A 15,821-nucleotide genomic window follows, 5' to 3' on the forward strand; every position below is an offset into this window, starting at 1 on the left:
AGGGACAGGAACAGCTTTTGGGTGCAGGGCCCTTGGGAGGAAGCCTTCCCTTCTGAGTTTTTAGATGCAGGTTTCAGGAATGCCCGGACCACCAAGCCTCTGTCTGCTCCCTGCTCACACCCTGCTCCTCCACTCTGCTCAGTGGCTGAGAAGCATGGAGGTGTCATTGCTGAGCTCTCAGGAGCCTCTCTGACCTCCTGGAACCCGCACAAGGCTCTTCACCCTCTCTGTGCAACGACACTCAGCCTGAGGGGTGCACTGAACTGTAGGCTATAATTTAAGCATCTGTTTGTGTGCTCTTCACTTGCTAAACTCATAGCACCGTTGGAGGCGCAGGCAGGTTTAGGTGACCCGAGAAATTCACAATACATCCACAGATCAAGATGAAACCGGGCTGCCCACGCATTGTTCCAGATGAGACCTCCTGTTTCCACATTCAAATTTCCAATTCTGATTTTAAAGAAGAAAAGGAATAGTCTGTTTTTCAAAAACTAAAATCCTGAATGAAGCCTTGCACATAAAGAATATTCAGGCTGAGGGACCTCCACATCAACTGCTCCTGGCCAGCACCTCCTTGTTAATCAAATGACAGTGTGGCAGCCACCCTCCCTGCCCTTGGAGATGGGGCTGCTGCGTTTAGTCCTCACAGCAGCCCCATCGGGCATTAGTTTCAGCTCCATTTTTCACATGAGGAGGTGGCCGCTCATAGGTACACTGACTTGCTCAAGGTCACACAACTATAGAAAACGGCAGAAGGAAGACTCAAACTTGGGTCTTCTTGCTCCAAATCCTCTTCCCAGCACGGCACGGCGCAGGTTCTGCAGTGCCTCGTGTCAGCAGGCCTGAGGGGTTGCAGTCGCAGAGGCCTGTGTCCTCCAGGGCCCCTTTCCACCCATGCCTCCTCCCCCAGAAGTCCTTCCCCACAGAGCAGCACAGCTTCCCCGGGCCGGCTGGGAGGGTCCAGCTGTCACGCTGCATTTCTCTCCACTTATTTCTGCTTCCCTCATGACCTCCGTTTCAACAAGATGTGCCTTTAAATTAGATCCCAGAAGGAACTTCAAGGCAAATTCCCACATTTGTGACGTTTATGGAACTTGTCATTGTTTATGCTATTATAGTGCCATCAGCTGTGAGGGCACATTCTTCCTGGTTACAACATTGTTTTTCTTCCCTTTGGGAGGGAAGCACCCTTGAAACCAGAGGCTTGTCTGGTACCCGCATAACCTCCTTATTCCCTACTCCACTTATGTATATTTTTCTCTGTGGATCATGTACATGGTCTTTCAATTTCATGTCTGTGATTTATACATTGCAGTGTTTGCTATCCTCTGTACAACAGAGAGAAAATAGTTACTTTACAGGAAGAACAATGTGACAGGCTCCCAACTCTGCAACATTCGCCAAACCCGGAGTCAAGTGCAGCTTTAGCTTTCGTAAGTGTTGGAATTTAGGCTTCATGTTTCACTTACTCTTGCAGGCAACTGAAGAGCAGAAACCAACTGTTTGTGGCCAGCCCTGAGCTAGGGACCAAGGAAGAACCAAGACATGTAATATCTTATATCCTCTCCCTGGGGACTTCTCAACTTGTTGGAGGGAAAAAAGATACATTAAACTATTAGAAAACAATGCAATGTATGTTATTGATAGTGTATTCTAATAAATAAGCTGCTATTTTCAGAAAAGGGTGGTAATAGGAGATGTTTCGGATTTGAAGGGAAGTTATACAAGAAAACATTGATTGTGTTTGAAAACTATACATTTTCTGAAAACTTGTTATAATGTATCCCTTTAAAAGCTTAATACAAACTATCTCATAGGCTGTTGCCAAGCTTTGAAAAGTCCACAAGGAGGTAAGGAAAGAAAGAAATTATTAAATTGTAAAAATACTGATTAAAGGAAGAAGACCCTTTCTTTAGAAAAAATAATATTCTTCTGATTAGTCACAGAATTTCTTGAGGGTTTCATGCTAACATCATGCCTTCAGCAAAAGGTCAAGTTTTCCTTCTCATCTGGTTCTTGATCAGCCTGAGCTAAAGACAGACCCTCCCTGGAAATGAGCCATCAAGGATGAAAGAGACAGAAGCTGAATTTAGCAGGAGGGAGAATGAAGATGAAAAGTGAAAGCAAACAGGGGTAGGACGCAGCCCCAGTGACCACATGTCCTGGCTTGCTGGGACAATTCAATTTACACCCACTGTTCCAGCATTAATTATTAACAGTGTCCCTTTTCCTTACCAGAATAATCCTGATTGGGACAATAAGTAACATGGGCCACTCTAGAAACAGTGGGAACAAGAGTCCAGAGGCAGGAATTGGCAGTGTGTGTGCTCAGGGGTGAGAGGTGCTATGAAGACTCCAGCTCAAGTGGAGAGTTGAGCACATGTGGGGACAGGGAAGAGGGCACTGTGGAGGAGGCGCAGGACTGGATCCAACAGGGCCCAGAAGCCAGCAGGGAGGAGCTCCTACTTCATCCCATGGGTTTATTAGGGAGTCACTAAGGATTCTTGAGCAGGATAATTATGACCCCAGGCAACATGCTCAGAAAGGACAAGGAGTGAGATACCAGAGAAAAGGAGACTGGTCGGAAATTCAGTTGCCAGGAACGTAGCGGTGCAAGGAGGAGGAACACAAAAGGCAGGAGGATCAGATGCCAAGGGTCTTATGGGAGCCCAACGGGGGCACAGTGAGAAGGGAAGAATGAAGACAAGTGACCCTGGGGGGTCACACTCAGGCATATTTCTCAATCAAACCTCCTGCACTTCTTGAGTGACAAAGATGACTTGCCTCCAAGACTCTGCATTGCAAGAACAAAGAGAAAAGCTGATATGACAAAATGCTTAGAATTATGTCTTTGATGTATGAACACTCCTCGCCCCCTGGACCCTGATAAACAGAGTTCACCCCAGAATCCCTTGATGTATCCAAAGTGCACATCTTTAATAACAAGAGGTCTCTGAAGGTAGATTTCCTCTTCCATTTGTGGAGCTATTTCAATTTTTAGGGGCTTGGAGATGCTTCCGATTAATTGTTAAGTTAGCCTTTTGAGACCTCAATTTATATGCAGCATTGACCAGTGTCTGCAAATAATCTGAGCAGAGGAAGGAATAGATCCTTAGGAAATTAATGTAATCGTTTCAGCTCATTATTTGAAGAGCATATTCTCAGAGCCCAGAAACTTCATTCATTCATTCAAAATTGCTCTGAAATCCAATTAAAATCAGGGGTCACACACAGAACCATTGTTTATTTCTTCATTACTGAGATGGGAGAGTAGACTTTAAAACTGCAGAAATCTAAGGAAGGTGAGGGTGGAGCCGTGGGAAATCAGGGAGGGTCCCTGGTGAAGCCAGAAAGCTAAGGATGTGAACATTCCGGGGGCGTCATGGAAAGGCACACGCACCGATGCTCCTGGAAAGGCAACATTTCAACAAGAATATGAATCCCATCTTTAATAAATAGTTTTTAGTCCTTCAGCAGATATTAAACATCCTTTTTCGGACCCACGAACTCTAACGCCATGCAAAAGGAAGCCCAAAACCAAAAAACAAAGAGTAGAGAATTACCTCCCAGAGGTAATTCTGCCAGAAGTCTGAAGATATGTGGGAAGGAAATGTGATTCATTTATTCATGTGTCCTTTTAACAATATCCATAGAGATCTTACCTAAACTACAGCAGTGAACAAATCAGACAGTCTCTCTGCCCTGGAGTAGCTTTCATGTGGGGGCAGGAGGTGGGGTTGGGGGCATGGGCATGGAAACAGACCATGAACAATAGACAAAGTAAACAGGTAAAGCATATGGTACATTAGAAGGTGATCAAGTGCCATAGCGTTCAGGAGACAAACCTTCAAGGCAAGAAGTCAAGAACTTCTGGATGGGCAAGAACAAAACAGGAAAAGAAAGCAGAGCCCAGAGCTGGTCACCACCAGGTGCTCCTGGGCCATTCATAGGTCCCAATCAGCTCCTCTCAAAAGTAGCTTCAGCACCCCAGGAAATAAGTTGAAATTAAAACATCAGAAGAGGGTGTCCCACAGCAGCCCTGCTGGTCCCCTGAGCAACAATTACATTCCACAGGAAAGGACTTCAGCACAGCCCCAAATCATGCCCCTGTACCCAGAATCTCTCCCCAGCCCTGCACTCTCCTCCTCTCCAGGGGCTGGTTTGGGCCCCCTTGGACAGAGGGAGTGATGAGGCCTTAGTCTGAAAGTCAGTCTTAGGGGACTTGTCACACAGAGGGGAGATCTCACTGGAAGCCAGATCCTCAGGATGTCAGAGACTCAAACACCCAGCAGGTCTGAGAATAGCTCCCAGAGAGGCAGTATGGTGTCCCGGACAGAGTGCCCCTGTCTCCTTCCCCACTCCTCCACCAAGCTGGAAACCAGGGGAGTCCTGCTTGGCCAGGAGCCTGCTGGGACACATGGACCAGTCCACTCCCCTCTCTTGTCTCAAGTCCCTCTGTTGTAAAATGAGGAGGCTGATTGGGTGGCTTTCTGACCAAGGTCAGCATACCCTGGAACTGGGGCATGGGGAAGTCCTCATGCCCCCTCCAAAGCCAGCCTGCCCCTGGGGAGAAAGGGCCAGATGGGAGGGCTGCAACTCCCCGCTGCAGAACAGCTCCCCTTTTCTTTGTCTTACATATTGAGTTTCCTTCTAAGGTTTAATTTTTTAAAGAATGTTGCTGCTAGATAGATGTTTGAAAGCCACTTCTAGTGTTCTGAGACAAATACCTTTGAAGAGACGGGACAAAGACCAAAGTGTTTTTCCCTCTACCCCCACACCACCCAGGCACTCAAGACAATACTTCTGACACCAGATGCATGGGAGGGTTTTCTCACACACCACGCAATTCTGTAGGTGATTCTCTAGCAGACACCAGCTGGGTGTCCTCTTCTTCAATTCAGTTCTGACACTGTCTACCTGGAGAGAGCATCAGATCCCACAGGACTGCTCCCACTCCAGATGCCAATCATAAATAGTGGGTTGCCACCTATGCTTCTGATGGACCCACTATAAATGAGGGTTCCCACAGCCCCCTCCTTGGGTTCGATTAATCTGCTATAGCAGCTCACAGAACTCAGGGAAACGCTTTACTTACATTTACCAGTTTAATCCAGGTGAAAGAGATCCACAGAACAAGGCATGTGCCCCCATCCTGAGGCTATTTAGGGGCCACCAGCCATCTCAGAAGCAGACAAAAGACACTCATATCCCTCTAGAGATTCCAGGGCTTCAGGATCTCTTGCCAGGAAAGGGAGATGAAGACCAAATGTATATTTCACAGTATCAGAGTACCTGAGTATATTTCACCACCATTAAACAAGAGGTGATGCATGACTCAGCTCCATCAGAGAAGTAAGAAGACTCGGGGCGAAGAAGGCCCTGTGCCTTTCTCTGGCACACTGGAAGCACCTGCTTGTGTACCAGCTTCTCACCAAGACCCCTGTTGCCAAAGCAACCAAGTTTGGCTTTTCCTGCCCAAAGCACGCAGGCATCCTTGAGCAGGGGAGAGGTGGAGCCAGGCATGCACCGGGAAACCACCACATACCATGTCCAATGGCTGAGCCCTTTGAACTCTCAAGGTTGCTAAATGGTACCTGAGTCCAGGACTCCCACCAAGACACCCAACTCCACAGACAGACAAGTTAATAAATCACAGCGTGAATCCCCTTCAGAGGGTGGCTGTGTGTAAAAATAGAGAGGGCACCACAGCTTCCTGCCCACCTTTTCCTGGTGTCCCTGGAATCATTCATTACAACCACAGGGCAAGAGTCCGTGGTGGCAGAGATGAAGAGGCTCAGTGGCCTGGCTCCACCTCCTCACTTCACAGAGACACTGAGGTCACTCAGGGACTCAGTGCCTCGCTGCACTCACACAGAGACTCAGGAGTCAAAACCAGTTAAAACCAGGCCTCAGGTCTCCCTACTCCCACGCCACCTTGAAGGACACACCCCCCAGAAACCACAGCTCACTCCTTTTTCAGGACTTCATAGTCAAGAAACAAGCCCTGCCAATCCTATGCTCAAAAGTCCCCAGGCTGAGATGCAGGTCTTTCAGGTGGGCACCAAACTTTGGTCTGGAATCTTGAACTCATTTCAAAGTGTTTCTCAAGATGGTTCTTGTATAATTTCCACCTTAGCACAAACTAATAGCTCCTCATTGCAATTCCTCTGCCTCTGCAGCCATTTACCACTGCATTGACCTTTGCTTCTAGGTTAATTATCAATAGTTTTGTCTATTGAAGAAATTGAACTGAATTAGCTTAGTTTTAATCTCTCATCAGTAATTCAAATGACCATTTCCCACTGATGAAAAATAAAACTATCCGCGGGGGTGGGTGCAGGAGAGCCACCAACTCCTAACAAGGCTTCACCAGGCAGGGAGGGGCATGGCCCTCACCAGTAGGCATCAAAGCCGTTCCCCTGGCGTCCCATGCTTGAGTGCCCTCGGTCTGGACTGGACTTGTGCCAGGGAGCACGGAGGATGTCCCAGGTTGGTCCGGCCCTGTCTGACAGCCCATTAGCTCCAGCTGTCGGTGACATCTGCCTGCTCTGATTACCGTCAGAGCTGCGGAGAAGCAATGGCCCCCAGCATCGAGCTGTCTCCCCCTGTGCTCAGCTGTCATCAAGTATTGTGTTTCCACCTCAAGGCACTCAGAACCCATCCCCGGCTGCTATTTATAACCTTCCTTGAGGTCGCCTGCCGGTGAGGCTGCAGAAGGGGTGTGCCACTTCAGGGCAAAAGGCCCCAAACACCACCAACTTCCTGCCACTGCCTCCAGGTGAGAAGCAGGCAACTTCTGAGCTGAGCAAAATCAATTCACAAAAGTACATGCAGCATCAGGTCAGCTTCCACTGCGCTCCATGGCTGGGGACTCCAGGCTACATGAGAGGGACACTGAGACTAGGGCAGCTTGCGATGTCACCAGAGGCCTGGAGAGATGGATTCAGATGGCGCCACATGGCTCCATGCTCAGCCTGACAGGACTGCCTCTGATATCTAAAAAGATGCCACAGTGATTGCAAAGGGACTGAAAATCCCAGCCTTTGACTTGTGCTGAGCCACCCATGTTAGTTTCCTGTGGCTGCCATAACAAAGGACCACAAACTGGGTGGCTTATAACGACAGAAATGATTCTCCCACAGTTCTGAAGCCCAGAAGCCCAGAATCCTGCCACACCAGACTCCCTCCAGGGACCCTAAGGGAGAAGCTGCCTTTGCCTCTTTCAGCTTCTGGTGGCCATCAGCATTCCTTGACTTGTGGCCGCATCACTCCAACCTCTGCCTCTGTGGCCACACTGCCTCCTCTTCGTGTGTCTTCTCTGTGTCTCAAATCCCCCGTTGGCCTTTCTCCTACAAGGACACTTGGATGCAGGGCCCACCTAGGTAATCCAGGAGTATCACCCCATCTCAAGATCCTTAATTTAATTTCACCTGCAAAACTGTTTTTCCAAATAAAGTCACACACACTGGGCTCAGGGACGTAGATACATCTTTTGGGGGACCACCTATTCAACCTAGTCTATACCCCAACCTAAGGGAATAAAACAAGAGTCTGGCTTTTAGAGTCAGGAAGCACTGGGTTTGAATCCCACCACTGCCACTGACTTAATAACTAAAATTCTGTCTTTTCTTAGGATGTCACCAGCACCCAGTGTGATTCCAATAACAGGGCCCAGCAGGGCAGGGATCTGAGAACAGGCCTTGCCCTCCTCCCCTCTCACCACAGAAGGCCCAATGGCACGCCCAGTGACAGTCCCGCCCCAGGCCCAGATGGGAGCAGGAACTTTGTGGGTCCGTAAAGACGGCCTGCAGAGGAGCCATTTGCTTTCCCCACTCCAGGGAAGCAGCACTCTGTCACCTCTTATGATACCGCATCATCCTCGGCTCTGGGACCTGGCTGCCTGCCTGCTTGTTTCTGCCTCAGCGCCCCCAGCAGCACCAATAGGTCTCCATCCAGGCTTTGTTTGCTTTTAATTACTAAGCCAACTAAGTGAGCCCCCAGCACAGACACACCTGGCTGCCTCTGACAGGTAATGAATCGTTCAACCATGTTCAAGGACAGGCCTTCCTGACAGCAGCGGGGCGATCAACTGAACAAAGTCAGGGTGAGCTGGGAGGGCAGAGAATATTGACTAAGGAGTGTCGCGGATGCCTGCCTCCCAACACTGCCCCTGAGCTCAGCTGATATGGATGCAGATAGTCTTGGGACCACAAGTTTCTGACGAGGAGGATTGATTTCTCTAGGAAAATGGAGAGTGGACACTGTGCAAATACTCTCTTATATATCAGCACCAACATGGAGATCCTTTAAACATCACTTTTCAGTGACCAAAAGAAGAGTTTTTCTTAAGACCAGAGAGAAGACATCCAAGTCTGTGGACTCCTCTTGTATGATTTTCCTCCACAGGCTGAAAAGACCTACAAAGCCATGGGTTTCTTCCACACTATCTCACCCCAAATTCTGTACATTGCACACAAGGCTGGTCACACACCTCTCTGGAGCCATCCTCAAGCAGAAGAGGGTCATGTTCAACAACCCAGGGTTGACAAAGGACAGAGCATGAGGCATGGGCACAACTGGGGGTCTTGCAGGCTATAAGGATCAAGATTTGCCTCAAAACTTGAGAGGTCAGCCACACCCTGTGCGTCAGTAGCTATCCCAGCCCCCTGGGCAGGAGAGAGCTGCCAAGAAATGCTGAACACTTGGTATCTCCTGGGTCACAAAGCCATCGAGGGAAGCCAGAGGGTTGGCCACCCCAACTCCTGTCCCTGGCGGCAACATGGAAACTCCACCCCGGTGGACACAGACCATTGGGTTGGGGACATATGGTCAGTGTTCAGTCACCCTCCTCTGCTGTGTGTTAAGCTGGGGAAGATTCCCTAGGGGAGGACAAGGGCCAGGAACAAGGAAGGCTTCGTGTGAGCTGGTGGGTCTGGTGGCTTCCTGGGGAACCAAAGACACCAGGGCTGGGAAGGGAAAGAGCAAGTGCGCTCTTGACACCTTTCTTATAAAAATTCTAAGTACATATGTATAGGTATACATACACACATGTGCCTAGTGGATCCTAAAGTTTGCGCACTAAAGTGTTCACAATGCTTCACCCTCAGTGACAGGATTTTTCACTGTGCTTTGTCTCTATTTTCCAAATTTTCTACAATATACACCATATTACTTTTATAATGTGAAAAAGTGCTATTTTTTAAAAACTGTACAAATGCAAAGAATTGGCACTCTTAATCTCAGATCGCTACATCCGTTCTGTAGGAACGAGTGCCCTATTTGTCAACTTTTTGTAACAGACTGTGCCTAATTAAATTCTAGAGAAAACCCAGTCACACCCTCAGCCAATTCTGCATCAGGCACTATGGGCACCGTGATCCTCCAGGCCCAAGGGGGACACCGGACTGCTGGTTCTCTCCTCTGCAAACGCTGGAGCCCCAACACCACTATTTATCCCATTTAAGAATAACCAAAAGTACAAAATAGATTTCATAAATCACTTAGTCTTTACAGCTTGCTCCTCAAGGACATGCATGCAGGCTTCTAGCAAAGATGATGCAAAATAACAAGACAGATGTAGTAACCAATACGAAGTGCTTGCTTCACTAAACAAAGAGCTTTTGATGCTGTAACTCAATTTGCGTTGGCATAATAGGATCTGAGTGGGGCTAAGAGGAGCCACATAACAGCGGGCAGGCAGCCTCACCAGCAGAGGGGAGCATGGAAACACACGGCAGAGCCTCCCGGGGCCACGTGCTTCTCATCTGGGACCTCCGAAAGGCACCATTTCTTCAGGTAATCCTCAGAGGGATTGCTCATGTTCCTCCAAGAAAAGGCTCAAACAGCTTGGCATGGTGCCTCACGCCTGTAATCCCAGCACTTTGGGAGGCCAAGGTGGGAGGATCACCTGAGGTCAGGAGTTCAAGTCCAGCCTGGCCAAAACAGCGAAACCCTGTTTCTACTAAAAATACAAAAAAATAAAATTAGCCGGGTGTGGTAGCATGTGCCTGTAGTCCCAGCTACTCAGGACTTGCATCGCTTGAACCGGGAGGCAGAGGTTGCAGTGAGCTGAGATCGCGCCACTGCACTCCAGCCTCGGCAACAGAGTGAGACTCTGTCTCAAAAAAAAAGAAAAGAAAGAAAAAGCTCAAACATTTCATGGTTGTTTGTGGAACCAAAACCCAAACCAAACAGCTCTTCCTTCCCTGTGCCCTGCTCTCCCATTCATTTATTCAGCACCTGCTCTATATTGAGCACTTACTGTGTCCACCAAAGTGAGTAGGGAGAAGAATTAGACACAGTTGCCAACACTCAGGCTGACAGGTGCTTTCCTTGTGTTGTCAGGGGGAGAGAAAGGGTTCATGGTTTTGCTGCCCCTGCTGCTCTGAGAGTGGTAGAAAAGAACCAGAACTGCTGGCTCCCAAATGTCCCAGCCCAGGGAGAGATAGAAGAACCTCATGCCAATTCTTCTTATGAAGTCTCTTATTCTCAAAGAGGCTATTTCTAGAGCCTTGCTGCCAGCCCTGAGGAAGAAAGCCTCCCCAGAGACAAGGTCTCTGGGGTTTGCTCCAGGGCGGCCGGTCAGCTTCCCTCCACCCTCACAGCCATAGTCCCTCTGCCCTGAGAAGATGCTCTGGGTCTGGGAATCTAGTGATCTACCCTGGCTCAAGACTCCCATGAGGTCTTGAACAAGACCCTAGCCCCCACTGAGGGATGGAATCCCCCCGGTGACAGCCAAGGTTGGCCTGGATGAGGATGAGGGGTGGGCCCACCTCTGCCCTCAGACATGCTCTGAGGATGTTTCCCTGACATGCAGGCCCCAGTGACAAGATCAACAAGCATGTCCTCACATCAGTGGACAAATGGGCTAATGAGATAGTCATAGCCCTGACCCAGAACTGTGGGTGTTCATTTTGTGCTCAGACTTGAGTACCCCAGTCAAGGTGAAAGGATCAGAGGGGTGTGAGATCTGGAGCTGCCTCAGTGATGAGTTAACCCCTGGCTGAGCAGGCTTCTGGGCCATAAATCTGGATGTGCCTGTGTCAGAAGAGCCAGCCACTTGGCTCTCTGTACCTAGGGGTGCTGCCCAGCATGGCTAGAAGTAGCTCTCAGAGGCCCTGCCAGGGACAGGGTCTGGAAGTACCACCGCATGGAGGAAGTGGGGGGCCACCATTGCCAACAAGGGCACAGGGCTGGGGCAAGGCCCTGCCTCACTGTACTCACTCTCCCTCCATCTCTGCCCAGCCTCCCAGAGCCAGGGAAGGGACACAGAAGCACAAATGCTTTCTCAGCAAGCCTTCTATGTGATTCTCACAGGCACAGAGACCATCGGGACAGAAAATCATCCCCACTTCCCAGATGAAAAAACCGAGCCTCAGGCAGGGCCATGCTTGAAAGGACAGAGCTGGCACCTGTGCTGGCCTCCTGCCTCCAGTCCCAGCACTCCCTGCTCCGTGCTGCTCTGCCTCATTTAGGGGAGTCCTCGTCAATTAGGTGAACACCCCAGACTCCGCGGCACAGCCTGAAGCACCCTCTGCCTGACACTGGAGCTTCCTCTTTTCTCTTATCCATCCATTTAAAGTCTGGGCCTAGGAACTCAGAGAGACGGTCTCTGTTCTCTGCTTGGCCACTCATCAAGAACAGATCACCTCTGAGCCTCAGTTTCTCCATCTGTAAAGGGCATCCAGGGCCTCCCAGCTCTCCCCACTATAATTATAGGGGCATTTGGGAGATGTTCACTACCTGTCAGAGTGCTGAAAAACACAGGGCCGAGACGCTTAGCAGGTGGGAGGTGAAGTTGTTTCTGCCCTGGTGTTGTAAAAGATACTGAAAATGAAACCATGGTTCCACACAGCCCATGAGCCAAGGCTGTCCACCACAAGGTACATGGATTTAAGCCCCAGTGAGTGCTCTGAGTGTCCTAGAGGTAGCAAGAGAGCTGGACCCCATGGAAGGGTATGTCTGCATAGCCCCTGGTCCAACCTCTCAAACAGCAAGGTGCATCCAGGCCGCTGTATCTGTGCATATGAAGACTTTCCCTGAGCTACTAACTCCAAGAAGGACAAGGGCCCTACATCTTGAGGTTACCAAATTCCTTTTAATGACTCTTAAGTGCTTCCTTACAACTTTCTATAAATCCACCAGCTCATCCCCACCCGAGAACTCCACACGCAACCTCATTAGGAGGCAGTGAGTGGTGGAAAATATTGATACTTCTGGCTAATGGCGTTATTAATACCATTACCATTCATATCACCTCGTAAACGACTCTTATAGGACATTTAGCATGGCTAAGTCCAAATGAAGATAATATTGTTGCTAATTATCTCTCTATAAACTTATTTCATGGCAGGGAACAAGGGCCCTTATATCCTCTGATTACTCAGTTGCCAGAACCATAAGGAAGTAGGAAAGACTGCATGAAGATGTGCCCTCTGGGGATGATTCATTATGAAGAAGTGTGGTTTGCAAAAGCACAAGAGCTGTTTGGAGATTTTTAAAAAGAAAGGAATGCTAATTTGTGAGAGAGGGGACAGGGAGGAAACATCTCAGGGAGCCAGAACTGATCAAGGCTGACTCTCTGGCACCGCTGGATGGGATTCGCAAGCTGGCTCTCTCGGGTCCCTGTGTCCAAGGGTCAGAAAGTGGCCTAGGTAGGGCACGCCTGAGCTGCTCATTTTGGTGATAACTACACGGTGGAGCTCCAGGGAGGGAAGCTGAGCAAGTGTCCTCATCTCATGAGAGGGTTCTAAATCCAGCAGCCCTACAATCACATTTTGAAATGACTCGCATTTTCTTATTTACTCAGTGGCTTACTTAGCACTTGCGGACTTAACTGGGGCTTGTCTGAAGCTGGTGGAGGGGTTTATGCTGTCTCAGGAAGCAGTGTCAGCCTTGCGATTTCGCCTCCTGCATTGTTTGGGAAACATTACTCCCAGATAAGACTCCAAAGTGATTACTCTAAAGGAAGCTGTGAATAAGAAAATAAATGTTTTTCTTTTTCTCTTTCTAGCTGAGCTCAGACGATTTACAGTATTAAATGTCCCCTTGTACTCAGGAGAACTAGAATTGATTTTTTTTTCTTAAAACTGCTCATTGGGTTGCTTATAAATTTCTCTAGCTGTTGTTATCAAGTTGTAAATTGCAGTTATGAGAATAACCACAGATCGATGGCAGTCATTCTGAGGGAGGACCAGGTCTGTGTGGACGAAGGCAATTCAGGCTTTTAACAGACATTTATAGTCAATTATCTTTAGTCCAGATTTGATTAAGAATTGGTGAAATCTCAGCCAGATACTAGGTAGGAATTTACCTTCGCTCTGCCCATGGGCAAGTCCATATGGCCATTCACCAGATATTTCCAGCTTTCCTCCCTACATACATTTCTCCATCTCTTTTGCAGTTAGGCAAGACCATTAAACTTGTTTTGACCAACAAAATGTGAGTATGAGCATCACATATTAGTGCCTGGTAGGTGGTTTAAAACAAGAGGCAGATAACTTTTTTTATAAAAAGCCAGACATACATTAAGGCTTTGTGGTCATATGGCCACTGTCACCAACTATCCAACTCTGCCGTTGTGGCACCACCAAAGCAGCCATATATAATAGTATCAAATGGGTGTGGTGTATTCCCATAAAACTTTACTAATGGACACCAAAATTTGAATTTCATATGATTTTTGTGTCACAAAATCTTTTGTTTTTTTAACCATTTTTGAATGTTTAAAAAAAACCCTTATAGAATGCACAAAAAAATGTGAAAGGTCAGATTTGGTCTCGAGGCCATAATTGACCAACCCCTGCCATAAATAAAATCAGTGGATGATTTGCTATATCCCCTCTCCCTGCTGAGACAGCTCTGTCATCGGTCCAGGTCCATGAATGCCTATGAGGAGCAGAGCCCACAGTCAGTTCCCAGCAGACATGGAGAGTGAGCAAGAAAGAAACCTTGATTGTTGGAGTCACTGAGATTTGGGAGGTTGTTACTGCAGCAAACCTACCCTCTGAAATGGTCTCTGATGGGATTTTCTAAGATAACTAATGGACTAGACAAAATTGCAATATGAAGAGATTATTAAGAAATGATTTTTTTGAAACATACTTTATTTTTTGTAGTACCCATTGTTATTAAAATCATAAATTATGCATAAAGAATATTAATCTGTTCGTTAAAGCAGATCCTGAATATGCTGAAACTTGACAACATCTCCTACATCTATTTAGAATCACGGGGAAGTTTCAGAGTCATGACCTTTCTTTTCCTTCTCAAGGGTATTTACATTCATCCTGGGCTTTCTCCTCATCTGTCTCATCAGTGACACTGACCGTTTGGGAATCTCAGTCTCATACCCAACCTTTCCGTCTTTAACCCAAGAGATGAGTAGGATTCCAGACAGAATGAACCATTCCAGACATCACATTTTAATAATGAGACAGGAAGAGGCAGAAGCAGAAAGGTATGCCATGTGACTTCAAGTATGTCCCTTGTCCTTTCTGGGTCTTTTTTCCTCCTGTAAAACTAGGAGTTGGAAAAATAATATTTATAAGCTCTTTTAGTTTAGATATTCTAAGACTAGATATAATGTCCAACAATTTAAAACAAACCCTTTTGGATCTGACTACAGAAACAAACTAGAAAGAGCCTTTGGACCCACTCAATCTAGCTCTTTATCTAAGAGTCTTCTAAAGAAGTCAGACGTGTCCCTATTTTGATCCCACAGAATTAATCTAGAATGACCTGGAAACTGACCAAAGAAGAAACACAAATGAACAATGAACAATGAAAGTCTGAGAAATATTCAGTCATATTCAGTCTTGCTAGAGATTAGAGTAATACAGATTTAAAGATCAAGAACCATTTTCCATCTACTGGCTTTGCCAAGGTTCATAAGGAGGATCATATCCCATGTTGGTAAGAGGAGGGAGTCCAGAGACCCTGTGCTAATGGGGAAGTAAGCTGGCATGGTTTTTCTAGAGCAATATGTATTGAAAGCAATAAACATGGGCACCCCCTTTGACTAAGCAATAGCCCTACATCTACTGTTTTTTTCAAAAAAATGGATAAGCACAAGACAGGTAACACAACAAACAGATACAGCATCATTTCTAATGACAAAAAAAATTAGAAACAGTAAATGACTAAAGGTAAGGAATGATATAAATTAAAAATGGTACCTTGATAAAGTGAAATACCATCCTGCCATTAAAGATAATGCTGCCATACATTATATGAGCCTAATTTTGTGGGGGGTGGGGGGAGTAACAATTATAGACATACATAGAAAAAGGACTGGAAAAAGTATCAAGATGGAAACACCAAATATCAAAAATATCAAAATACCAAAAATGGAAGTAGTTATCTCTAGAGGTGTTAATTTTCTGAATTCTACTTTTCATTTTCCATATTGTTATAGAATCAGAAAAAATAAGCATTAAATGGAAGTAAAAACTAAAAAAATATAAATCTGTATATTTATTGATTTCAAAGGTGTTCTTGACACAATTGAAAAGTTATTTTTCTAAGTTAGCTATCAAATAACATGTATAGTTAGATCCTGTTTTGGAAAATGAGAAAAAGACTGAAAATATCTTTATGATATATATTATATATATTTTATGAAAAATGCATAAAAATTAAGTGATTTGTGGGGTAGGGTTATGAGTGAATTTTTTCCTTCTTGTCTTTTTTCTGATTATTCTACACTGAACATATATGTGTAAAAACAATAAAAAGGAAGCAAAACTCTTTAAAAATAAGTGAATTAAGAAAGATCCAGATGCTTCAGGCAAGTTTGCTCTCAATGCTAAATAAGTCACGTA

At 46.6% G+C, this 15,821-nt stretch overlaps 1 protein-coding gene across 1 annotated transcript in view, besides 1 other annotated feature; it reads right to left on the minus strand.

Moving 5' to 3' along the window:
* The window catches only part of FSTL4 (follistatin like 4), a 645,613-nt gene that overhangs the window by 622,810 nt on the left and 6,982 nt on the right, over positions 1-15,821 (minus strand). The gene's annotated exons all lie outside the window — the stretch shown is intronic.
* Positions 5,556-5,605: an enhancer, noted in NCBI's record as "active region_23105". NCBI's record gives its function as "activates an Ori minimal core promoter by ATAC-STARR-seq in GM12878 lymphoblastoid cells {active_cell/tissue: GM12878}" and the evidence as "EXISTENCE:reporter gene assay evidence [ECO:0000049][PMID:35858748]".

The sequence above is a fragment of the Homo sapiens genome, chromosome 5 (assembly GCF_000001405.40).
Source record: "Homo sapiens chromosome 5, GRCh38.p14 Primary Assembly".
Lineage (NCBI taxonomy): Eukaryota > Metazoa > Chordata > Mammalia > Primates > Hominidae > Homo > Homo sapiens.